This window comes from Homo sapiens, chromosome 17, assembly GCF_000001405.40.
Source record: "Homo sapiens chromosome 17, GRCh38.p14 Primary Assembly".
Classification (NCBI taxonomy): domain Eukaryota; kingdom Metazoa; phylum Chordata; class Mammalia; order Primates; family Hominidae; genus Homo; species Homo sapiens.
In genome coordinates, this window is record NC_000017.11 from 5,281,546 (window position 1) to 5,307,294 (window position 25,749).

The window sequence follows — 25,749 nt, forward strand, 5'->3', positions numbered from 1 at the left end:
AATCAGACGGGGAGTGGTGATTAGAGGGGAGTTCCTAAAGTATAGGGCCCAGGGGCCCAAGTATAAGGGCCACACTTTGTGTATATGATTTCTCCTTTCCTGCCATGAGTGCAGGGTCTGTACCTGGCTGTATCTCCAGCATCTATCACGACTGAAAACCCAAACGTATTTGCTGAATGGATAGTATACTGGCCTCTGCACCAGAAGACCTGGGGTCCAGGCCCAGTACTGTCGGAAACAGTTCTTCATACTTTATTACCTCGTTTAAACTTTTCTTAGCCATTATATTGATAAAAATTCCAAGAGGTGAAGTGACTCTCCCAAGGTCGCAAAGCTAGAAGAGGTAGAGGCTGGAACTGCACCCCGCCATCGGTCCTCCTCTCTTACTCATTTTTTTTTTTCCCCTCACTGTGCTGGGGTGGAGAACCGGGACCGGCACCTTCGAGAGGCCAGGCCTCTGCTGCAGCCCCTCTTCTCCAGCTCCGCTCGGCACTCAGCCTCCCCGCGCCGCTGGGTCAGGCGCCCAGCTCCGCCGAAACCCTCCCCTCCCGCCGCGCTCCCTCCGCGCTCCCTCCGCGCTCCCTCCGCGCTCCCTCCGCGCTCCCTCCGCGCTCCCTCCGCGCTCCCTCCGCGCTCCCTCCGCGCTCCCTCCGCGCTCCCGAGGCCCCGCCCCTCCCCTCGGGCCAACGTCACGTGCCGCCCCATCCCCCTGCGCCTGCGCACTGCTTATTTCCCGCTGTCAGGATGAGGAGGCGGAGGTCGGCGGTCGGGTCCGTCTCTGCCCGCGGCTGTGGCGGCGCCGGCGGATCCAGCCTTAGCGGTTTCTCTCTGGGCGGCGGCGGCGGCGGCTCGGTTGACGCCTCCTCCGCCAGCTGAGCCCGCGGGAGCCCAGGACGCCGCTTCCCCGCCCATCCCCGCTCCCCGAGGCCGGCCGCCTGGTCATGGCGCAGCCGGGCCCGGCTTCCCAGCCTGACGGTGAGGCGCCCACCATGGCAGGCGCGGCGGGCGCGGCCTGCCCGGCGTCGGCGTCGCGGGAGGATTTCGGGGCGGGCAGGCGGCGGCAAGGGCGCGCGCAGGCCCCGGGGGTGACCCCGCCGGGCGGAGGCGGGGGCGCGCGGGCTGCGGCGCGCGAGGGCGGCGCGGGCGCCCCGGCTGCCGTCGCTGGGGAGGGGGCGGGAGGCGCGGGTGCAGCGCTTGCGGGAGGGCAGAGGGAAGGGCGTGGGGAGGCTGCTGGGTAGCGTGGGGTAGTGTGGGGAGGGAGCGGTTCTGGGTAGCGGGGGACCGGCACGTGGGTTCTGCCCGTGGGGGAGGATGGAAATCGGGAACATGTGCTATATTCGTTAAAGAAAAAAAATCTTAGCTTAGGTAGTGTACCCTCCCTGCCGCCCCAATCCTTGCTATAGAACTCTTTGCACCCAGTTATGTGACCTGAAAGTAGTTGTGTACAGTAACTGGATTTAGTAGCATTCCCTGAATGGCAGTGTGGCTTAATGGTTAAGTGTTGGGGCCTGGGAGTCTAGAGGACCTGTATTCTTAACCAGCAAGCTCTGGGCTCATTTCTTAGCCTCGTTGAGCCTCAGTATTCTCACCCACGAATTAACCAAGAGGTTAATTCATGCCTTTATATTTTATCTATAAAAATAGCAACACGAATGTGTATATACAATAATAGTATTATGGAGGTATTAGGAATAATGAGAATAGTGTTTGAGAATGCTGAGGCCTACTTGCACTACTTGAAGATATTTGCTTGTGGAACTAAAAAAAAAAAAGTGAAGTCGAAGAAATGTGTCATTTATATTCTTGGAAGGAAAAAAGGGCCCCATCCTAAATAATCAAAGTTGGTTGTCAGAGCCCTTCGTGACCTTCTGGGAAATTGGACTAAGCTGTGCTTCACAGATTGACTACATGGTTCCAGGTTTTACCACCTAGAATAGATGTTTGGAAATAGTGTGCTTGGGCTTTTCCAAGGTCCCACTGTATCTAGTTGTGAAAGTACTTTCTGGTGTATTTCTATAATCAGCGTGTGTGCTTAGCATCTTTAAGTGTGAGTAGAGTAGAATGTTGGGAAAAGGGGCTTGGTACGGAGTAGGTACTTTAAAACTTGGCTTTCCTTGGGGTTGTCTCAAAATAACCTTTCGTGAAACCCTTACTTTTTATTTTTGCCTTTGGGGAACTTGAAACCATGTTATCAGATTTTAAGGTTCTGGCTGCTCTCTGGGAAATGTGCTTCAGAGCCTGTTAGCCTGTAGTTTTGGGTGTTGTTGCTTGCCTAAGGGGAGATGTCCAGTAAGCATTTAGACTTTTATAAGAACCTGCTTTGCTGTTTCTGTTCCAGGAGAAGGGAAGGGAAGCATTTTTGGTGGGCTGTCAGAGAGAGGAAACTGGGATGTCTTCAGGCTGCATTTTAATGATCACCTTTTGCATTTGGTGTCAGGCAAGAAAACTTTGTTCTTCCACAATCCCACTTTGTTACTGCACACAGAGGCAAGATACAGAGAGCTTGTGGTTCTGAACAGGAGTGGTAGGTATGCATAGCTGGCTGCTGCCTTCTCTTGAGTTGCATGGAAAGAAACGTCTAGGGCAGCTCAGGTGACATGACCGTCTGGAATCAAAATTCCCTGCCTCTTTGAAGATATGAAATGGTCTTCCTTGTAAATAGGCAGAAGTGACTAAGCACTTGAACGAGGCTAGGGAAAACTAGCTTTAGGAAATCTTGTATTCTTGGTATTTTAGTTCAGGTTTCTTTCCTATTTCTCAAATCTTGTGACTCTAGGATGAGATTTAGTTTGCATAGATTGCAATTTTTATTTTAAATTAATGTAGGTAGCCATGGCTACTTTTTACAGTAGGAGAGAGATAATTTGGTACGTTTGAGTGCCTTGTGTCAGTGCCTTAGAAGTTCATCTTGGGGATTTTAATTTTTTTTTTTTTCTTTGAGACAGTATCTCACTCTGTTGCCCAGGCTGGAGAGCAGTGGCGCGATCTTGGCTCACTGCAGCCTCGACCTCCTGGGGTCAAAGCAATCCTGCTACCTCAGCCTCCCAAGTAGCTGTGACTACAGGTGCATGCCACTATTCCCAGCTAATTTTTGTATTTTTGTAGATACGGCGTTTTGCCATGTTGCCTAGGCTGGTCCCAAACTCCTGAACTCAAGGGATCCACCTGCCTACACTTCCCAAAGTGCTAGGATTGTAGGTGTGAGCCCGTGAGTCCGGCTTTTGGGGATTTAATTTGTGTCTTTAGCTGAACTCATGTAGACCATTTTAGCTTTAGGCACGTTTGAATTTCCTAGTCCTGCTGATTAAAAAAAAAAAAAATCGCCAGAATTCTTTTGTGTCAAACTGGTGGTGAAAGATAACTAACTGCTTAGTCTTTGACTTTATCTTGTTTTATCCTGTTTCAGAAGCGATTGTCTTTGATGACTTTTTAAAAAAAAAAAAATATTGTCTGTTTTTCATGGCCATATGGTAGATTAGGAAAATCGATTTGTGTGTAAATCGAAGGGATGAAATGTAATCATTTTATTCATTGTAATTATTTTGTAAGTTAAAAAAAGTTTTGGGTTTTTGATACTGCATCTTAGTTTACTTATTTGGAATACAGGTAATTTTAATAGTTAAAGAAATTTCAGTTGATCTGTTTTCCCTTGAGAATTTAAAAATGAAAATTTTCTAATTTTAGTATTTCTTTTAATCTAAGTTCAACTATATCTTTGAAGCATTTGCTCTGGTTTTACTTCACTTTTTTTCTTTTTTTTTTTTTTCTTTTGTAGAGAGGGTCTCATTGTGTTGCCCAGTCTGGTCTTGAACCCCTGGGCTCAAGTGATTCTCCCATCTTGGCCTCTCAGTGTTGGGATTACAGGCATGAGCAACTGCACCCAGCCTACTTCATTATTTTTTATTCTTGCCATGTTGGCCAGGCTGGATTCCTGATTGTTTCCTGTTAGTTACACAGACATGCTACCTTTTACCCCTGAAGGACATGCTTTACATACATAAGTCTGCAACTTCCCTATCTCACTTAATAAATGTTAGCTATCATATTATATACTCATGGTTATATGGCCATGTAATGTTCTGCAAACACTATAGGCATTATCTTAGGAAATCTTCATAGCAATGGTACTATTGAATATTACTGCTTCTATTTTCTTGATGAGGAAACTGAAGCACACAGAAGTTAAAGAAACGTGCCTGTGTTATACAGCTATTAAGTGGGGGAGCAGGATTCAAATCCATGCCATCTGGCTTATGTACTAGATCATGGACTACTTCCAGGTCAGTGTTGTAGGCCTTCTTCATTCTTCTTAAAGACGATCTTATCATATGCATGTACCAGGCATGATTTATGGCCTATTTCCCTATTGTGGGGCAAGTAGATTGTTTTCAAATTTTAATTATTTTATAAGCAGTGTTGTAATGGATGTCCTTGTGCATATTTTTTAAGGTACTCTTTTACTTCTGTAAGACTAGTGAATTAAATAAAGGGCATGAGTTCCGAGTGGTTTAAATTTTAATACCTGTTGCTAGCTTACTCTCCAAGGCATCAATTTACATACTTGCCAACGATATATGGCAGGTGGATTTCCCCTGTAATCCTACAAGCTCTGGATGATGTCATTTGTTTTAAATTTGTGTCTTTTGATTAAAAAAAGTGATATTGTTTGGCCGGGCATGGTGGCTCATGCCTGTAATCCCAGCACTTTGGGAGGCCAAGGCAGATGGATCACAAGGTCAGGCGTTCAAGACCAGCCTGGCCAATATGGTGAAACCCCATCTCTACTAAAAATACAAAAGTTAGCCGGGTGTGGTGGTGCGCACCTGTAGTCCCAGCTACTCAGGAGGCTGAGGCAGAAGAACCGCTTGAACCCGGGAGGTGGAGTGAGCAGTGAGCCGAGATCGTGCCACTGCACTCCAGCCTGGGGGACAGAGTGAGACTCTGTCTCAAAAAAAAAAGAGTTGTATTGTTCAATTAACAAGTATTTGTGTGCCTATTCTATGCCGAATCCTATGCTAGGATCTAGGAAATACAGTGATGAACAAAACCAGACCCAGTCCCTTTCCCAGGTAGTGAATCATTCAGCCATTAATTAGATAATCCTATAGACACACACAAAACTATTTATTCATCTAATATGAATGCATACTGTTTGTCAGGCACAATTCTAGGCATTTGGAATACATCAGTAGGCAATATAGATAATAAATAACCCTGCCCTAGTGTGGGAGAAACGGATATTAAACAACAAACGTAAGCAAATGATACGGGTTGTTAGATGATAAGTGCAATGGAAAAAAGAAAACAGAGCAGGAGAAAGGGAAGGGGGTGGGGCTGGTTTTAAATAGGCTGGTCAGGCAGCTTTATTGAGAAGATGACATTTGTGCAAAGACTTGAAGTAGATAGAGGAGTTAGCCTTGAGGATATCTGGTGGAAGGGTGTTCTAGGCAGGGATCAGTTTTTGCATATGCCTTGAGGGCGGAAGCATGTCTGGCATGTTTGAGTAATGGCATGGAGGTCAGTCTGGCTGGAATGATGTTACGGGGCCTGGGGCAAGAGTGTAGTAGGATATGAGGTCAGAGAGGTAACGAGGTGGAGGCAGATCTTCTTGGGCCCTAGAAGTATTGCAAAGATTGGTTTTCACTATGGGGAACCATTGAAAAGCTTTGAACAGAGGAATGATGTGATCTCACTTATGTTTTAAAAAAATCACTCTGGGCCAAAGTGCTGGGATTACAGGCGAGGTGGCTCATGCCTAGAATTGTGCCTGACAAACAGTATACAGGCTCACGCCTGTAATCCCAGCACTTTGGGAGTCTGAGGCAGGTGGATCACCTGAGGTCAGGAGTTCCAGACCAGCCTGGCCAACATGGTGAAACCCAATCTCTACTAAAAATACAAAAATTAGTCAGACATGGTGGCACGCGCCTGTAATCCCAGCTACTTGGGAGGCTGAGGCAGGAGAATTGCTTGAACCTGGGAGGTGGAGGTTGCAGTGGGCGAAGATCATGCCACCGTGCTCCAGCCTGGGCAACAGAGTGAGACTCTGTCGCAAAAAAAAAAAAAAAAAAAAAAAAACCCAAAACACTGAGCGGGCGTGGTGTTGTCTCATACCTGTAATCTCAACACTTTGGGAGGCCTAGGTGGGTGGATTGCTTGAGCCCAGGAGTTTGAGACCAGCCTGGGCAATATGGCAAAACCGCATCTCTACAAAAAATTAGCCGGGTGTGATGGCCTGTGCCTCTAGTCCCAGCTACTCAGGAGGCTGAGGTGGGAGGATCACCTAAGCCTGGGAGGTCGAGGCTGCAGTGAGCTGTGATCTTGCTACTTCACTCCCACCTAGGTGACAGAGTAAGACCCTGTCTCAAAAAAAAAATCACTCTGACTGCTGGATTGGCAGTGGAGTAATAGGGAGGTATGAATCCAGAAAAAAGATGTTGAAGCTTGGACCAGGATGGAGGTTATATTTTGAAAGTATGGCCAACAGGATTTGCTGACGGATTGAATATGGGATGCAAAAGAAACTGAGTAGTCAAGGATTACTCAAAGGTGTTTGGCCTGAGCAACTAGATGAACACAATGCTATGAATGCCTATAACTGACTTATTTGACCAATATACAGAGGTCAGTAAAGGCTTTTGATGAAGTAGTCCTGGAGCCGAGATCTGATGGATGAGCAGGACTCCTGGTTTTGGAGGATGCAGAACGAGTAACATAACTGAAGAAAGGTCACTGTGCCTGGGTAGAGGAGTAGGTATGGGCTGGCCTGAGGGGTCTTTTTCCTTAGAGGTGTACGGGAACCCACTGAAGGGTTTTAAGCAGGTAGATGATGTGTGGCTTTTTATTTTATTTTATTTATTTATTTTTTGAGATGGAATCTCGCTCAGTCGCCCAGGCTAGAGTGCAGTGGCACTATCTCGGCTCACTGGAACCTCTACCTCCCAGGTTCAAGTGATTCTCCTGCCTCAGCCTCCCAAGTAGCTGGGATTACAGGCATGTGCTGCCATGCTCGGCTAATTTTATATTTTTAGTAGAGATGAGGTTTCGCCATGTTCGTCAGGCTGGCCTCTAACTCCTGACCTCAGATGATGCATCCGCCTTGGCCTCCCAAAGTGCTGGGATTACAGGCGTGAGCCACTGCGCCTGGCCTATTTTATTTCTTTTCTTTATTTTTTTGAGACCAAGTCTTGCTGTGTTGCCCAGGCTGGAGTGCAGTGGTGTGATCTCTGCTCACTGTAACCTCTGCCTCCCAGGTTCAGGCGATTCTCGTGCCTCAGCCCCTCAAGTAGCTGGGATTACAGGCGTGCACCACTACACCTGGCTCATTTTTTTGTATATTTAGTAGAGACAGGGTTTCACCATGTTGGCCGGGCTGGTCTTGATCTCCTGTTCTCAATTTATCCACCCTCCTTGGCCTCCCAAAGTGCTGGGATTATAGGAGTGAGCCACTGTGCCTGGTTGAAGTGTGGCTTTTTAATTTGCACTTCCAGGATAGGAATTATATTAATTATGGCCTCTTTGTTTATTGGCTGGCTGGCTTGCTTCCTTCCTTTCATCCATTTTTTTCTTTCTTTCATTTTTTTCTTTTTTTGCTTGCCCTCCCTTCCTCCCTCCCTTTCTTCTTCTTCTTCCTCTTCCTTTTCTCTTCTACTATGAGTTGCTGTTTCACATCTTTCTTTTGTGGCTTGTCTGTTTATATCTGTTTCCCATTTTTCCATTGGGTTGTCCTTTTCTCAGTAATTTGGAGGAGCTCTTTGTAAATTATATTAGCCCTTTGGTATGTGTTGCAAATTTTGGTCTCACAGTTTGTCATTTACCTCGTTTTAAAAATTTTTTGTTATGCAGAAAGCTTTAATTTTTATGTAGATCTGACCTTTTTTTTTTTTTTTTAAATTTATGGTTTCTGGGTTTCTTATTTTGCTGAGGAAGACCTCCCCAACTCTCATGTTTATTTAAAGAGAAAAAACCTTATCATTTTCAACACTTGTGGTTTTTTATATTTTGTAGTCCAATCCATTTGCAATTTATTTATTTTTAAATTAGAGAAGTTTAATATAAAGAATTATTAACTAAACTGGAGATCACCCACTAAGACAAAAGAAAACCCTAAAGAATACAAGACTAGTAGACATAAGGAACAGTCTCGCTTCCAGGGCTGAGGCAGAGCACCCTTTATTTTTTTTTCTGAATAGATAGATAGTTGTCTTAACGTTTATTCAATAGTTCATGTTTTTGTTTGTAAATTATAACTTGGTAAATCTCCCAACCTTTGAACTAGCAGAGATACTTAATCTGAAAAACAAAAGCCCTGCACTTATCCACTGTCTTTGTCACTCTGATATCCCAACACACAGTAGCCTGGAATTAGGTAATGGCCTTTAATTTTCATGTCTTACCTGGCTTTCTGTGGAGAGAATTGCTTTTGAATCTTAAGGGCTCTAATTTCTAAAATATCTCCATTTATCATATGCTAGGTTTTTATCCACTGAAGTTTGATGTTCTCTTCTTATGTAGTCATTAATTTGAATATTGTCTTTATAGAAGTATTTATTTATTTTTTGAGATGGAGTCTCGCTCTGTCGCCCAGGCTAGAGTGCAGTGGCACGATCTCAGCTCACTGCAAGCTCCGCCTCCTGGGTTCACGCCATTCTCCTGCCTCAGCCTCCCAAGTAGTTGGGACTACAGGCGCCCGCCACCACACCCGGCTAATTTTTTTGTATTTTTAGTAGAGACGGGGTTTCACCGTGTTAGCCAGGATGGTCTCGCTCTCCTGACCTCGTGATCCACTCGCCTTGGCCTCCCAAAATGCTGGGATTACAGGCGTGAGCCACCGCGCCCGTCCTCCTTGATTATTCTTAAGTATTTATTCATTCAGAAAAAATTTGGAATGAGTACGTTAAGTGCACCCACTGTGCTTCCCTCTCTTGTTTAAAAAAAGGACTTAAAAAATATCTGTTGCGTTTATAAGCTTAAGAGAGCATATATCATTAACATCTTTACAATTAAGATAAATTAATGCATTAAGTGCATGTTAATTTAAATAATAATATTTATTATTATTTTTTGAGATAGAGTCTTTCTCTGTTGCCCATGCTAAAATGCAGTGCCGCTATCTTAGCTGACTGCAACCTTGGCCTCCCGGGTTCAAGTGATCCTTTCATCTCAGCCTTTGGAGTAGCTGGAATTACTCCGTGCTCATGACCCAGCCTGACTAATTTTTTTCTAGTTTTAGTAGAGAGTGGGTTTCAACATGTTGCCCAGGCTGGTGCTGAACTCCTGGCCTCAAATGATCTGCCCACCTCGGCCTACAAAGTGCTGGGATTACAGGTGTGTGCCACCAGACTTGGATGCATTAATTATATTTTTTAATCCTTCTGATTCTTTAAAGGTAGTATTAACACTTTCACAATTGAGGCTATACAAATTAGTAACTTGCCTAGAATCCAGGTTGCCGTGACTATTTTCATTCTAGCTATCCCTCAGGCCAGTTTTAGCTTAGTAAACTTTGATCATTTTTAAAAAGGCAAAATTAAGGCTCCAATTTTCTGATCATAAAGTACAAAGTGTAAAAGAAAACTAGACTTGCTGAGCGTGGTGGCTCACACCTGTAATCCTAGCACTTTGGGAGGCTGAAGTGGGTGGACCACGCGGTCAGGACTTTGAGACCAGCCTGGCCAACAGAGTGAAACCCCGTCTCTACTAAAAATACAAAAAATTAACTGGGCGTGGTGGTGGGCACGTGTAACCCCAGCTACTTGGGAGGCTGAGGCAGGAGAATTGCTTGAGCCTGGGAGGCTAAGAGGTTGTAGTGAGCCAAGATCGTGCCATTGCACTCCAGCCCGGGCGACAGTGCGAGACTCCGTTTAAAAAAAAGAAAACTAGACTTACACATAATTCTGTCCTTTATTTTTTTATTCTACATTTTAAATTAATTTTTATATCTACAAATAAAAATATTTTAAAACAATTGATCATATTGCACATGTGGTTTTGCATTCTGCCATTTTCATTTGGTTATGATGTGAACAGTTTCCCTGTGTTGTAAGTTTTTTTGTTTTGTTTTGTTTTATTAGTGGTTTTGGCCAGTTGCGGTGGCTCACGCCTGTAATCTCAGCTCTTTGGGAGTCTGAGGTAGGTGGATCACTTGGGTCAGGAGTTTGAGGCCAGCCTGGCCAACATGGCGAAATTCCGTTTCTACTAAAAATACAAAAATTAGGCCTGATGGTGTGCGCCTGTAATCCCAGCTACTCCAGAGGCTGAGACAGGAGAGAGTCATCTGAACCTGGGAGGTGGAGTTTGCAGTGATCTGAGATTGAGCCACTGCACTCCAGCCTGGGGGAAAGAGCGATACTCTGTCTCAAAAGTGGTGATAAGTCTGATTCATCATATAAATGTATCATTTTCCTATTACTGCCAGTTTGATCATTTGTAAATTCTCGCTATTAATAATTACATAGGAAACAACATTCTCGTACATTAATCTTTGATCTCATCTTTATTTCCTAGAGTGTTCTGGATCTGAAGTATGACATTTTGGTATATATTGCCAAATTGCTTTCTAGAAAGCCAGTTCTAGTTTACATTTCTTCTTCTTAGTGCTGACGATGTCTGTTAGTCTCACTTCATCCTTGTCAACGTGAAGTATAGACTTAAAGTGTTCTTGCCAATAGGCAAGGCCTAAAAATGGTATCTGACTGATTTTAGTTGCAGTTTTAGTATGATTGGCTTTTGTTCATTTTTTTCCTTTTTTTGTTTTTGATTTTTTAAAAAATATATATATTGGCCATTTTTTTGTGTGCATTGCCTCATGATGTCCTTTACCCCTTTCTTATTAAATTTTTAGTTTATTTACTTTTTTTTTGAGATGGAGTTTCGCTTCGTTACCAGGCTGTAGTGCAGTGGCGCGATCTTGGCTCACTGCTACCTCCACCTCCTGGGTTCAAGCAGTTCTGCCTCGGCCTCCCGAGTAGCTGGGATTACAGGTGTGTGCCACTGTGTCTGGCTAACTTTGTATTTTTAGTAGAGATAGGGTTTCACCATGTTGATCAGGCTGGTCTGGAACTCCTGACCTCATGTGATCCACCCACCTTGGCCTCCCAAAGTGCTGGGATTACAGGTGTGAACCACTGCACCTGGCCTTTATTTATTTGCTTTTGAGACAGGGTCTTGCTCTGTGGCTGGAGTCTGGTGGCATGGTGCGATCTTGCCCGATTGCAATCTCTGCTTTCCGGGCTCAGGTGATCCTCTCACCTCAGCCTCTGGAGTAGCTGAGACTACAGGCATGCACCACCATGCCTCGCTAGTTTTTGTATTTTTAGTAGAGATAAGGTTTTTCCATGTTGCCCAGGCTGGTCTTGAACTTCTGGGCTCAAGCCATCTGCCTGCCTTGGCATCTCAAAGTGCTGGCATTACAGGCATGAGCTGCTGTGCCTTGTTCATTTTCTTATTAATTTATAAATATTGGCCAGGTGTGGTGGCTCATGCCTATAATCTCAGCAGTTTGGAAGACTGAGGCAGGTGGATCCCTTGAGGTCAGGAGTTCGAGACCAGCCTGACTAACATGAAACCCCGTCTCTACTAAACATACAAAAATTAGCTGGGTGTGGTGGTGCGTGCCTGTAATCCCAGCTACTTGGGAGGGTGAGGCACGAGAATCGCTTGAATCTGGGAGGTAGAGGTTGCAGTGAGCCGAGATTGCACCATTGCACTCCAGCCTGGACAATAAGAGGGAAACTCTGTCTCCCCCCTCAAAAAAAAAAATCTGTATATCTTTCTCTCTATATATATCTCTTTGTATATAATATCTTCATAGACATTGGCCTTTGTTTTTTATTTGTTACAGATATTTACAGGTATTTTCCATGTTTTTTCTTATTTTGGCTTTTGGGGTAATTTATTTTTTTGAGACAGGGTCTCTCTCCATCACCCAGGCTGGAGTGCAGTGGTGTGATCACGGCTCAATGTAACCTTGACCTCTCACCTCAGCCTCCTGAGGGCCCTATAGGCACATGCCACCATGCCTAGGTAATTTTTGTATTTTTTGTACAGACAGAATCTCCCTTTGTTGCCCTGGCTGGTCTCAAACTCCTGGGCTCAAGGGATCCACCTGCCTCAGTTTCCCAAAGTTCTTTGATTACAGGTGTGAGCCACTGCATCTGGCCATTGGGATAATTTTTGTTATAAAGAAATCTAAAATTTCACTTGGACAAACTTATTGGTAATATTTTGACATTTTCAAAGATGTTCTCTGTCGCAAAATCAATTAGATAGCTGCTCATAACTTATGTTGTTAGTGTTTAAATTTATTTTTAAACAGTGGCCAATTTTTTTCTACATCATTTCAATTATTAAGTTGTTTCTATGTGAGCTGTTTGTCAAGTTGGATCTTCCACATCTTGCACTTGTCATTAATTTTCTTTCTATAATTATTTTATAATTACAGATAAAATTTATATTGCCCATTGCAGACAACTAAGAAAATGCAAAAAAAGTGTAAAGTGAACAGTCAGCAAAGACAGTTTATTAACACTTTGGTATACAGTTAGCCCTCTGTATCTGCGGGGTCCACTTTCATGAATTCAACCATCTGGGGATTGAAAATAAACCCTTTGGGAGGCTGAGGCGGGGGAATCATGAGGTCAGGAGTTCGAGACCAGTCTGACAAACCCTGTCTACTAAAAATACAAAAGTCAGCTGGGCGTGGTGACACGCGTTTGTAATCCCAGCTACTCAGGAGGCTGAGGCAGGAGAACTGCTTGAACCCGGGAGGCGGAGGTTGCAGTGAGCTGAGGTGGCGCCACTGCACTCCAGCCTGGGTGACAGTGAGACTCCAACTCAAGAAAATAAACCAATAAAACAATAAGAATACAAATTAAAAAATGCAGTATGACAACTATTTACATAGTATTTACATTGTATTAGGTATTATAAGTTATTTAGAGGTGATTTAAAGTACATGGGAGAATATGCATAAGTTATATGCAAATACTACACTGTTTTATATAAGGGACTTGAATATCATCAGATTTTGGTATCTGAGAGGTCCTGGAACCAATTTCCCTCAGATACTGAGGGAAAACGGTATTGTCTTTTTTTTTTTTTTTTTTTTTTTTTTTTTTTTGAGATGGAGTCTCGCTCTGTCACCCAGGCTGGAGTGCAGTGGCGCGATCTCGGCTCACTGCAAGCTCTGCCTCCTGGGTTTGCGCCATTCTCTTGCCTCAGCCTCCCGAGTAGCTGGGACTACAGGCGCCTGCCACCACGCCAGGCTAATTTTTGTATTTTTAGTAGAGACAGGGTTTCATCACGTTAGCCAGGGTGGTCTCGATCTCCTGACCTTGTGATCTGCCGGCCTCGGCCTCCCAAAGTGCTGGGATTACAGGCGTGAGCCACCGTGCCCGGCCAACGGTATTGTCTTTTTAGAGTTTCATATGTATAAAATATGTTTAAAAAAAAACGTAAAAATTTGATAGAAAATTACAGTACTTTTATAGCATGTTTTTTCCCACTTAAATGAAGAGATGTTCATGATGTATTATTAAATAATGTTATTTTTGAGGACAGATGCGGTGGCTTACACCTGTAATCCCAGCACTTTGGGAGACCGAGTCGGGCAAATCACCTGAAGTCAGGGGTTCGAGACCAGCCTGACCAACATGGTGAAACCCCGTCTCTACTAAAAAAAAATAACAAAAATTAGCCAGGCGTGGTGGTGCACACCTGTAATCCCAGCTATTTGAGAGAGGCTTAGGCAGGACAATCCCTTGAACCCAGGAGGTGGAGGTTGCCATGAGCTGAGATCATGCCACTGCACTCCAGCCTGGGCAACAGAGGAAGATTCCGTCTCAAAAAAAAAAAAAAAGTTATTTTTAATGGTATGTAACAATAGTATTCTAATGTATGGATTCCATAATAGGTTTAATTAACCCTCTTAGTAAGTATTGTTTTTATTTTTTTCTATTTCAAAGGACACTGCGGCAAACATCCTGATACATGTGTCTCTAAATATTTAGCCAAATACTTCCCTCTGCTAAATCCCTGTTCTGTCAAAGTTTACATACATTTAAAATTTGATACTTTTGATACATTTAAGTTTTTATATGTTCTTTTGTGTCATTAGGAATAACTGTCTGAGACCAACTGGAAAGCCAACCCCTAGTAGCTTCAAAAGTGAAGGGTTCAGTTTTTCTGTGTGTTACACGTTCACAAGTAGAGCATTCTAAATTTGGTTCAGCTGCTCAAGGATGTCAAAGATCTGAGTTTCTTCAGTTTTCTGCTTTCTTCCTCTGTGGGCCTGTTTGCCACATCATTATTTTTTGTAGATTTAGTTCTGATTTCTTTTTGGGACTATTTATTCCTTTAAATCTTCTACTGTTTTCTTAGTTACATTTGTTGGGTTCTCTACTTCAGGCACATGGATCATCCTTATATTGGATAGTCTGTTTCTCATAGCTGTTTCCTCTCTAATTCCTTTACTTTTCTTTAAAATTCACTGAGATTATCTCAGGTCTTTTTGATGTGTTTAACAAAACGGATTGCATTAATGGATTTCTGGATGTTTGTTTTTGCGCACTTCAGATGAACTCAACTTGGTTGTGATGGATTGTTATTGTAGTATGTAGCTAGATCTGATTTGCTAAGGTTCGAGAATTTTTGCGATTATATTCATAAGTGAGATTGGCTTGTAGTTTTCCATTTTGGTACTGCATTGGGTTTTGGTATCTTTTTTTTGTTTGTTTAAGGCAGAGTTTCATTCTTGTTGCCCAGGCTGGAGTGCAATGGTGCTATCTCAGCTCACCACAACCTCCGCCTCCAAAGTTCAAGTGATTCTCCTGCCTCAGCCTCCCAAGTAGCTGGGATTACAAGCATGTGCCACCACACCCGGCTAATTTTGTATTTTTAGTAGACTGGGTTTCTACATGTTGATGAGGCCGGTCTCAAACTCCCAACCTCAGGTAATCCACCCGCCTTGGCCTCCCAAAGTGCTGGGATTACAGGTGTGAGCCACCGTGCCCAGCCTGGTTTTGGTATCTTGATTATACTAGCTTGGTAAAACGGGAAACATTTCATTTTTTTCTATGTTGAGGACAGTTTAAGTAGTATAGAAAATATTCTCTGAACATTTGATAGAATTTATGTTCTCTTTCAAGATTCATCTTAACTTGTATAGCTATTGCATAATTTATTTTGTCAATTTTATTTTCTTTTTGTTTTTGGTTGGGGTGGGCAAGGTCTCACTCTGTAGCTCCAGCTGGAGTGCAGTGGTACAGTCATGGCTCACGGTAGCCTTGACCCCGTGGGGTCAGTTGATCCTCAACCTTCTGAGCAGCTGGGACTACAGGTGTGCACCACCACATCTGGCTAATTTTTTATTTTTTGTAGAGAAGAGGTTTCACCATGTTGCTCAGACTGGTCTCGAACTCTTGGCTCAAATGATCTGCCTGCCTCAGCTTCCATGAGTGCTGGGATTACAGGCGTGAGCCACTGTGCCCAGCTTTTTGTTAGTTTTCTATTGTTAGATATTGACTTTTTCCGAATGTTTTGGAATTTTAACTGATACTGCAGTCAATATTCTTGCAATTATGTCTTTATACATATCTATGATTATTTCCTTAGGATAAATTCTTGGTGGTGAAATTGTATAATGACCTTTAGTTGAGAACCACTGGTTTATGACAAAATGCTTTAGGATACCCCCTTTACCATTCTGATATAAAATTGTACACAAGACTTTTTTAAAAACCCCAAAACCTAACAGCATAATGCCTTTATTGTAAAGGAAAATAATTTGTAATTAATACAGATTGCTTACAGATTTCAACGTATAAATGAACAGTGTGACTGCATAAAAGAAGAACATCCCTAGGAGGTGGTATTACACCGTTTACAACTTCTGCTCATGTGACTCATGAATCTCCTCTATTAAACACCTGTAATCATGGGGAAATCCAGCTAGGCCTTGGAACCAGGCAGGTCAGTGTTTGAATCCAGCTCTGCTACTTACTAGCTGTATATCAATAGGTTAGCTTAATCTTAGAATGTTTCTGCATCTGTAACTGGGGTGATAATGCCTATTTTATGGTTTGGTTTGAAAATTTAATGAGCCAGTGTATAAAATAACTTGCCTGATACTCCATGAAGAGCTATTTGTGAATTATTTAATCCTTACTACAAAGCTAGAAGATAGTCCTATTATTAGTCCCCCTTGTTACAGATGGAGAGAAGGAACCAGCTTAGTGGGAGGGCTGGGATTCAAACCCTAGTTTAATTCCAGAGCCTGTGCTCTCAGCTGTTATGCTCTATGGCTTCTCATATAATAGTTGATAAATAGGCAATGGATACTTGATTGTTAGCTCAATTACACATTTCATTTTCTGTAGCTTTAATCAAGAGTTTCCTCCCAAGTGTTAACATCAGCGTTCTTTCCTTAAGACTTCTCTTTCCTCTTGGTTCTTGTGTTCCCTTCCTGAGACATACAGTTAATCTCCTTCATCCACATGTAGGCAGATAGCTATTTATTAAAAATTCTGTTCCCTCTCTGTGTATGACCTTGCTATTTCGGAAAAGCCCATAAATAATGCAGCCAACTTTCCTTGTAAATAAAATATAACCCTGTGTTTTTATTATTTATTTAGAAGAACTTTTCTTCTGATAAGTAACCCCCACTGTAGAGTTTATAGCTAATGTGTAGCCTTTTTATAACCCAAGTGTAGGGAGATAAGGAATTACATCTACATTTTAAAATTTTCTATGTTACAATCAAGGGAAGAGTATATATAGGGAATTTGATTCGTTTTACGGTATAATTAAATATGGTTCTAAGAGGTGTTTTTTGTTGCATTAGGCTTTTTTCTTGTAAATGATAGAAATCTTAAGACTATTCTAAACCAATTACTGTTTATATTAGAGGAACTGGTAATAACCAGAGATTATGATATTCTTTATGAATAGTTCTCCACTCTGAATTGTGTGTGTATGTGCATAATGCCTCGTTATATCTTCATATGGAGCTTCTTAAACACTTAAAAATATTAGTATGTAGAGTCACCACCTTCCATGTGTCATGATTCTTAATGTATGGCCAGTCTCACGTATAACTCCCACCTCCTCCAGGATTTTTTTTTTTTTTTTTGAGACGGAGTCTCGCTCTGTCGCCCAGGCTGGAGTGCAGTAGCGAGATCTCAGCTCACTGTAACCTCCGCCTCCCGGGTTCATGCCTTTCTCCTGCCTCAGCCTTCTGAGTAGCTGGGACTACAGGCGTCCGCCACCACGCCCGGCTAATTTTTTGTATTTTTAGTAGAGATGGGGTTTCACCGTGTTAGCCAGGATGGTCTCGATCTCCTGACCTCGTGATCCGCCCGCCTCAGCCTCTCAAAGTGCTGGGATTACAGGCGTGAGCCACTGTGCCCGGCCTCCTCCAGGATTTTAAACTAGGAATCTGTGATTTTATTTGGAAATATTTCAGTGTATGTGTAAACGTACCACAATGCTATTATAACACCTAAAACCAGTTAACAGTAACACCAAATATCCATTCTGTGTTCACATATTCCCCAGTTGTCGTGCGCACTTGTGTGTGTGTGGAGGGGGTGTGGTGGGAGGAAGTTTCAGCCTACCACACTGATACCCAAACTGTCTCATTTTTGGCCAGTGTGTGGCCTCTTTACATTGACTCCTAAATCTTTTTATATAACCTTAACAGACAAGATGTTCCAGGCTTATCTTGTACACTTCCTGCCCTGGACCTGGAATTGGTCCTTTTTCCTAAGGATCCCTAGTTCCTTTTAGTGGGGAATGTCATTTAGAGAACACAGTCTGGGTACTAGGTGTGTAGCAGGTTTTTTTTTTTTTTTTAAGCAGTTTTACTTAAATCACTATTATCACTATTATCCTTAAACAGAGAACACTGGGCATCATTTAATCTTTTATTGAGGACTTAGTATTATGGAAGTTAGTTTTGGTACTGAGCGGTAAGCTAATGAGTCCCTAGGGCCACTGAAGTGTGTTTTCAGTTAGTTTTGTTTGCCCTTATATTACGTGGTTCTGAATTCATTTTTAGTCACGGTTTTATTTTTGCCTTGTGACCCAGTCCTCTCTGCTGTCATTGGGGTTTGTTTCTCATTTACAGGGCTATTCAAGCTGCTCTCTGCACTCATTTCTTTTTCTTTTTTTCTTTTCTTTTTCTTTTTCTTTTTTTTTTTTTTTTGGAGGCAGAGTCTCTCCTTGTCGCCAGGCTGGAGTGCAATGGCGTGATCTCGGCTCACTGCAACCTCTGCCTCCTGGGTTCAAGCGATTCTCCTGCCTCAGCCTCCTGAGTAGCTGGGACTACAGGCTCCTGCCACCATGCCCGGCTAATTTTTGTATTTTTAGTAGAGATGGGGTTTCACCATGTGTGCCAGGATGCTCTTGATCTCTTGACCTCATGATCTGCCCACCTCGGCCTCCCAAAGTGCTGTGATTACAGGCATCAGCCACCGTGCCTGGCCTACACTCATTTCTAAACTGCTTTTTCTCTCTGATTGGACTCCAGGCAAAACTGAGGGTTATATTAGGAGATATGACTGGGTCTTATAGAGTATAATATGCAGTTAGATGGGAAGGAAAATCTACCCAGCTAAGCATTCAAGTGCATGAGTTTTTCATTTCTGTTAAGCTTGAAGGCTGTTACATTACATTTTGTTGCCAGGCCTCCTTAGGCTTCTCTAGACTGTGAAAGTTTCTGTGACTTTGGTTTGATGATCTTGCCAGTTTTAAGAAGTACTGGTCAGGTATTTTGCAGAATGTCCCTAAATTGGGATCTGTGTGATGTTTTTCTCATGATTAGACTGACATAGCGTCTTGGGAGGAAGAGCACATGGGTAAAGTATCGTTTTCTTTGTGTCACATCAAGGTTACATACATGGCTTATCAGTGATGTGTAGCCTTGACCACCCCTACTGAGGTAGTATTGGTCAAGTTTCTCTCTCTTTCTTGGGGTGCAAGCGGGGGGACCTTTCTATACTGTACTCTTGAGAAGGAAGTCAGTATGTGCTCCCCCATCCCCGTATGATGTTATGAAATCAGCCAGGTTGATCGTAAGCAGATTTTTCAAGTGTTTCCTACCCTCTAACTCTTGTTAATTCCTTGTAGATGTTTGTTATTATTGTTTAATCATTGCTTAGCACCCTATGAGCAGTCTTTAAGAGTATGGTAGTGGGAGTGACAGTATGTTTTGCCCAAGCTTCTTGGTTGCAAACAAAACAATTTGTCCTGTCTGGTCTAAGCAGAAAAGGTATTTTTGAGAAGATATGAAGTTGCTTACAGAGTCATTGGGAGGGCAAGGGAGAGAGATTCTAGATGATTCTCAAACTTTAGCCTGCATCTAAAAGGGCTTGTTAAGCATGTTACCGGGCCCCATCTCCAGAATTTCTGATTCCGGGAAGCCTGGGATGGGGCCTGAGAACTTCTCACAAGTTTCCAGGTGATGGTGATGTTGTGGTCCCAGAGCTACACTTGGAGAATCACTCCTTTATGCTAAACTTTAAGGAATACCCAAAAGCTGCTCTAGAACTGACCTTACAGGAAACTTGCCTCTGGTGCTGCTGGCCTATAGAAATTCACTTTAATGCTGTTGTCTCTGCTGCTTGGACTGATACCATTTCTGATTCAGGAGCTAGACCTATACCACTGGGACACGACTAAAAGTCTTACAGCAATGAGAATGGAACCTCGTTTCTTTACACTGCTCTATTCTGAATTGAAGTTGCATTTGAGTGTGTTTGATTGGAGGAGGCTGGGTCACATGCCTGCATTCTGGTTTTAAGGGAGATTGGGGATTTGTATTTGACTTCTATTTTGGGAAGCTGAAACTCATAAAATGGAAATTTCTTTAAATGTAAGAAGACTATGCAAAGGATTGATAGACAGCCATGGATATGGCAGTTGTCAACTATAGCAGTACTACTGAAAGTAACCTGTCCACAAACTGTTTTTAATGGTCTTCTAGGGCACAAGGAACCTGAACCAGAATATAAATCCATGTACTGCTTTCTTCATTGAAAAATGTCAGTAGAACTAAGCAATGTGCTTAGTGTCTTAGTTTATTTTACGTTGTGGCACAAACTCCTTATCTCATTCTTAGACCAGTAACAGTCTGCATACCAAACTTAGAGTAATAAATCAATATCAACCTCCACCAAGATTTCAGGTGATATACCAAGGGTCTCTTAGGCCTAACCAATAACTTTGTTTAAAAAAAAAAAAAATCAACCACCTGCGCCATGGTTAAAACTGCACTAGCTTCAGGTTGTAAGAGGAGCCTTGGTTTAATAGCAGTTCAAGTGGGAAGGGTTTAAGGACAGTGTTGGATTACATTAATCTTATGGGATAACAATAACAGTATGGGGTTGTGGCAAAAAAGCTAGAGTAGATTTACCATACATTGTTAAGGGTATGGTCCTCTGAAGAAAGGAGATATTTCTATTAGACTCTATGCTGGTTTTGTGTTTAGATCAGACTGTCATATTTTATGTGGAACTTTGACTAAGTTTAGTTTGAAGGGTGAGCAACTTGGATAATGAAGCATTTAGAAATCATGATTAGGAGAAATCTGGAGAAGAAAACGGTGGGTGTGAAATTTCAGATACTAGAAAATCTGCTCTCATTCTGGAGAGCAGAACCAAAATCTCTAAGGGAGCAGATTTAGGGGAATGTTACTGAAAACATTTTTTTTTTTTTTGAGATGGAGTCTTGCTCTGTTGCCCAGGCTGGAGGGCAGTTGTGCGATCTCAGCTCACTGCAGCCTTGTCCTCCCCAGTTCAAGCAATTCTCAAGCCTCAGCCTCCCGAGTAGCTGGGACTACAGGCGTCCGCCACCATGCCCAACTAATTTTTGTTTTTTTGGTATAGATAGGGTTTTGCCATATTAGCCAGGCTGGTCTCGAACTCCTGACCTCAGGCGATCCATCCCCCTCGGCCTCCCAAGATGCTGGGATTACAGTCATGAGCCACCACACCCGGCCAGCTTACCTTAGTCTATAAAGTTACCTTATAAGCTTTTTAATTTTTTAGACTTTTTTTTTTTTTTTTTTTGGAGTGTAGTGGTGCCATCTTGGCTTACTGCAGCCTCAACCTCCCAGGCGCAAGCGACAGGCACACACAACCACACCTGGCTAATTTTTGTATTTTTAGTAGAGATGGGATCTCACTCTGTTGCCCAGGCTGGTCTCAAACTCCTGGCCTCAAGCAGTCCTCCCACCTTGGCCTCCCAAAGTAATGGGATTATAGATGTGAGCCACTGGGCCTGGCTAGGAAAATCTTAAGTGTAGTTTAAAAAATGATTTTATAGACTGTGAGTTTCTTAAGAGCAAAATTTAAAAAATGATTTTTTTTGTGTTGAAATATTTTAAGACCATTAAATTATGAATACTTTTTTATGAGCAAATAGATTGAGGTAGAGCAATAAAATAATTCTTAAAACAAGAAAGATAAAGCATCTCATTGCCTTTTGATTTAAATCTCATCAGCATAATTCTTTTACTACTCTGAATGCCATTTTGGATATTCATTACAGTCTTTTTTTCTATATAATTTTTGTGTAGCTCATACTGTGCTATGTATAATGTATTTACTTAATATAACTTTTTCTGGCTTGGTATTACTTCACTGAATGAATATGTAGGATGGGTAGGATATACCTACCATACTTAATAGTTTTATTTTATTTTATTTTATTTTTTTTGAGATAGGATCTCATTCTGTCACCCAGGCTGGAATGCAGTGGTGCGATCTTGGCTCACTGCAACCTCTGCCTCCCAGGTTCGAGCAAGTCTTGTGCCTCAGTCCCCCAAGTAGCTGAGATGACAGGCACGCACTATCACGTCCGTCTAATTTTTGTATTTTTGGTAGAGACAGGGTTTCGCCACATTGACCAGGTTGGTCTTGAACTCCTGTCCTGAAGAGATCCACTTGCCTTGGCCACTGAAAGTGCTAGGATTACAGGCATGAGCCACTGTGCCTGTCCAATAGTTTTATTTTAAAATCCAGTGAGAAACAAGATAAGACATATGAGTTTTAGGAACTGTTCAGATTCTTTGATCCCACTGGAGTTATTTTTTGTTGTAAATTGATTGAAATAGGTGTTTTCTTGGATTTTGAACATCATTAAACAAAAAGGTTTTGGTCGTAGTAAATTTCACATTGCTTATGTCTTTATCAAATTTAGTGTAAAGATGCCAGGTGTGGTGGCTCACACCTATAATCCCAGCACTTTGGGAGGCCAAGGCGGGCAGATCACTTGAGGTCAGGAGTTTGAGACCAGCCTGGCCAACATGGTGAAACCCCATCTCTACTAAAAGTACAAAAATTAGCTGTGAGTGGTGGTGGGCACCTGTAATCTCAGCGACTTGGGAGGCTGAGGCAGGAGAATCACTTGAACCCCAGGAGGCAGAGGTTGCTGTGAGCCGAGATTGCACCATTGCACTCTAGCCTGGGCGACAAGAGCGAAATTCCATCTCAAAAAAAAAAAATAAATAAAAATTTATTATATTGTTTTACTTGTAAGAGGAACGTAGTAGTAGGACACAGCTTGAGTCTTAGAAATATTTTAAGTTATTGCGTGTTCTCTTGTTTATATCAAAATTATTATTAGGTCTTTACTCCATTTATTTATTGTATTCTTTTTTCGTTTTGTATTGCTGTTGCTATTTGAGACATTCTGAATTGAGTGACATAGTCATTTTTCCCTTTGGATGTCAAGCATTATAAGTAGCCATTGCATGGCTGGATGTGGTGGCTCACACCGGTAATCCTAGCACTTTGGACGGCTGAGGCGGGTGAGTCATCTGAGATCAGGAGTTCGAGACTAGCCTGGCTAATGTGGTAAAGCCCTGTCTCTACTAAAAATACAAAAAAATTAGCCGGGTATGGTGGTAGGCTCCTGTAATCCCAGCTACTTGGGAGGCTGAGGCAGGAGGATCGCTTGAACCCAGGAGATGGAGGTTGCAGTGAGCCAAGATTGCGCCACTGCACTCCAGCCTGGGCAACAAAGCAACAACTCTGTCTCAAGGAAAAAAAAAAAAAGTAGGCAATGGATTAGATAATTTCTCCCTTTTTCTTATTGCTCAAATGAAGGCAACAAATACGGGATGTGTGGAACTGTTGACAAAGGCTGGCATACTGATATTCTCAGCCTTCTAAATTTCAGAAGGTTTAATTTTGTTGAAGGCTGGCATTACAGTAATTAGTATTAGTTTGTTCATGATGCTATAAAGATACATGGTAATAGGGAAGGATATGAGCTGGAAGTCTCAGCATGGAACTGAGTCAGAATCTTGAGGTTGGAAGTGACTTCTGGTCTTTTCTGGCTACATACAAAGTCATTTGATCACTACTTTTTTTCTTTATTCATTAAATAAATACTACCAATTTAATAATGACAGCTAACACTTATCAAGTTTGTTCTATATGCCACACTAAGTACTTTTTACATGAACTATTAGCTAATGATAGTGACCTATTAGTTACCATGTTATAAAAAATAATACAGCATTTTGTGTGATGAGAGCTATTTTCTCCTTGATTTGTGGTTGGTTGCTAATGCATTAGGATATGCTTATTTGTAAACTTTCTCATATTGAGAGTGAATCGATTTGTCTCGATGTTGTAGTAAAGGCATTCTTGTAAAAAGCAGTTTTTTTTGTCTTTCTATATTGTAGAATTGCAGTATGTTAGAAGTACTTGAGGTGGATGATCACTTCTTAAAAATAAAATAAGACAATTACTCGATATACTCTCAAAAGATCATGATTTCTAGAACTGAACACTGTCCTGAAGCCTGGAGAGAGCCAGGCTTTGTGGGTATAGAGTGGGTCTAAACTGTGGGTCAGAGCCATGAAGGGGTTGGGAGTAATGGAAACATACTTAATCTTGGCTGCATCTTTAACAGCTGCATTTTTGTTTTGTTGATTCATTTGCCTCATTTCCTAATTATAAATATATTAATGTTGAGGGGTATGGGTGTTTCGGTTATGTGTGCATTTTGGTAGAAGGTAGGGATAGGAGGGGATACATCTTATTAGAGAAAAATAAGAACAGAGGGATTTTGGTTTTTCTCTTTCCTTGATTCCCCAGAGCCCTTTGTTACCTCTGTACTAATCAGTAGCTACCAGTAATACTAAAGTGTTAAGTGGAAAAGTTGTTTAACTTATTAAACAATGTGGATTTAACAATAAAAATACCAGCAGAATTAGCACAGAGAACAGATTTCTTTCATGATTTCAAAGGGTAATATGAGATAATTGCACATTTTCCTTCCAGTGGATTTCTCATCCCTCTTTTTCTCAAAGTTATCAAACCTTCAGTTGACCAGAAGTCAGTGCTTTGACTTAGAGACCCTACATGTTAGTTCCTCAAAAATTACCATTAGTGACATGGAACTCAAACCAGCAGTCATCCTCTTTCGGCAATGATTGCACTTACACTATTAAATCTATAGTGAGGCTAGTTTCAAGGTCTCATGGGAATGAACACATAGCGATGCTTCTCGACTTACCATGGGGCTATATCCCATTATAAATTGGAAATAACATAAAATGCATTTAATATACCTAAGTTACGGAACATCATAGCTTAGCCTAGCTACCTTAAATGTACCCAGAATGCTTATATTAGCCTGCAGCTGGGCAAAATCTTCTAACAGAAAGCCTATTGTTGACAAAGGCTGGCATACTTACATTCTCAGCCTTGTAAATTTCAGAAGGTTTAATATTGTTGAAGGCTGGCATTATGGTAATTAGTTTGTTCACGATGCTATAAAGATACATGGTAGGCCGGGCACGGTGGCTCATGCCTGTGATCGCAGCACTTTGGGAGGCCGAGGTGGGTGGATCACCTGAGGTCAGGAGGTCAAGACCAGCCTGGGCAACATGGTGAAACCCTGTCTCTACTAAAAATACAAATATTAGCTGGGCGTGGTGGCATGTGCCTGTACTCCCAGCTACTCGGGAGGCTGAGGCAGAAGAATTGCTTGAGTCCGGGAGGCGGAGGTTGCAATGAGCCAAGATTGCACCACTGCACTCCAGCCTGGGTGACAGAGTGAGACTCTGTCTGAAAAAAAAAAAAGATACATGATAATAGAGGAGGGTATAAGCTGGAAGTCTAAGCATGGAACTGAGTCAGAATCATGAGGTTGGAAGTGACTTCTGGTCTTTTCTGGCTATATACAAGGTCATTTGATTGCTACTTTTTTTTGTTACTCATTAAATAAATACCACCAATTTAATAATGACAGCTAACAGCTAACATTTATCAAGTTATAGTAAAATGTTGTATATCTCATGTAATTTATTGAATCCTCTAGTGAAAGTTGAAAGTAAAAAAGAGAATGGTTGTATGAGTACCATAATAAAGTGGAAAAATTGTAAGTGAAACCATCAGTTTGAACCATCTGTGTTGGTTTTAGTTCATTGTCAAAGGAATACATATCTGCATAGAAGAGAACTTTGAGAAGCTTATGGAAGGCCAGGTGCGGTGGCTTATGCCTGTAATCCCAGCACTTTGGGAGGCCGAGGTGGGTGGATCATTTGAGGTCAAGAGTTAGAGACCAGCCTGACCAACATGTGAAACCCCGTCTCTACTAAAAATACAAAAATTAGCCAGGCGTGGTGGCACATGCCTGTAGTCCCAGCTAACTGGGAGGCTGAGGCAGGAGAATTGCTTGAACCTGGGAGGCAGAATTTGCGGTGAGCCGAGATCGCCCCACTGCACTGTAGCCTGG

The 25,749-nt window shown here is 42.3% G+C and overlaps 1 protein-coding gene across 7 annotated transcripts in view, besides 3 other annotated features; it reads left to right on the forward strand.

Annotated features, from left to right (window-relative positions):
• Positions 459 to 1,178: a silencer, noted in NCBI's record as "silent region_8067". NCBI's record gives its function as "represses an Ori minimal core promoter by ATAC-STARR-seq in GM12878 lymphoblastoid cells {active_cell/tissue: GM12878}" and the evidence as "EXISTENCE:reporter gene assay evidence [ECO:0000049][PMID:35858748]".
• The window catches only part of RABEP1 (rabaptin, RAB GTPase binding effector protein 1), a 104,057-nt gene continuing 79,046 nt past the window's right edge, over positions 739 to 25,749 (forward strand). For 5 of the 7 annotated variants that reach the window (XM_011524060.3, NM_004703.6, NM_001083585.3 and 2 more), the window contains exon 1: positions 739 to 975. In XM_011524060.3, the coding sequence (XP_011522362.1) occupies positions 942 to 975 (34 nt within the window). In that variant the 5' untranslated portion in view covers positions 739 to 941. Of the gene's footprint in view, positions 976 to 15,799; positions 15,970 to 25,749 lie in introns of all 7 variants that reach the window. The other 2 variants (XM_047437039.1, XM_047437038.1) reach the window with 2 other exon arrangements.
• Positions 3,026 to 3,544: an enhancer, noted in NCBI's record as "H3K27ac-H3K4me1 hESC enhancer chr17:5187866-5188384 (GRCh37/hg19 assembly coordinates)". NCBI's record gives its function as "activates a minimal SCP1, AML or CMV promoter by ChIP-STARR-seq in naive H9 embryonic stem cells {active_cell/tissue: H9 hESC(naive)}" and the evidence as "EXISTENCE:reporter gene assay evidence [ECO:0000049][PMID:30033119]".
• Positions 17,936 to 17,985: a silencer, noted in NCBI's record as "silent region_8068". NCBI's record gives its function as "represses an Ori minimal core promoter by ATAC-STARR-seq in GM12878 lymphoblastoid cells {active_cell/tissue: GM12878}" and the evidence as "EXISTENCE:reporter gene assay evidence [ECO:0000049][PMID:35858748]".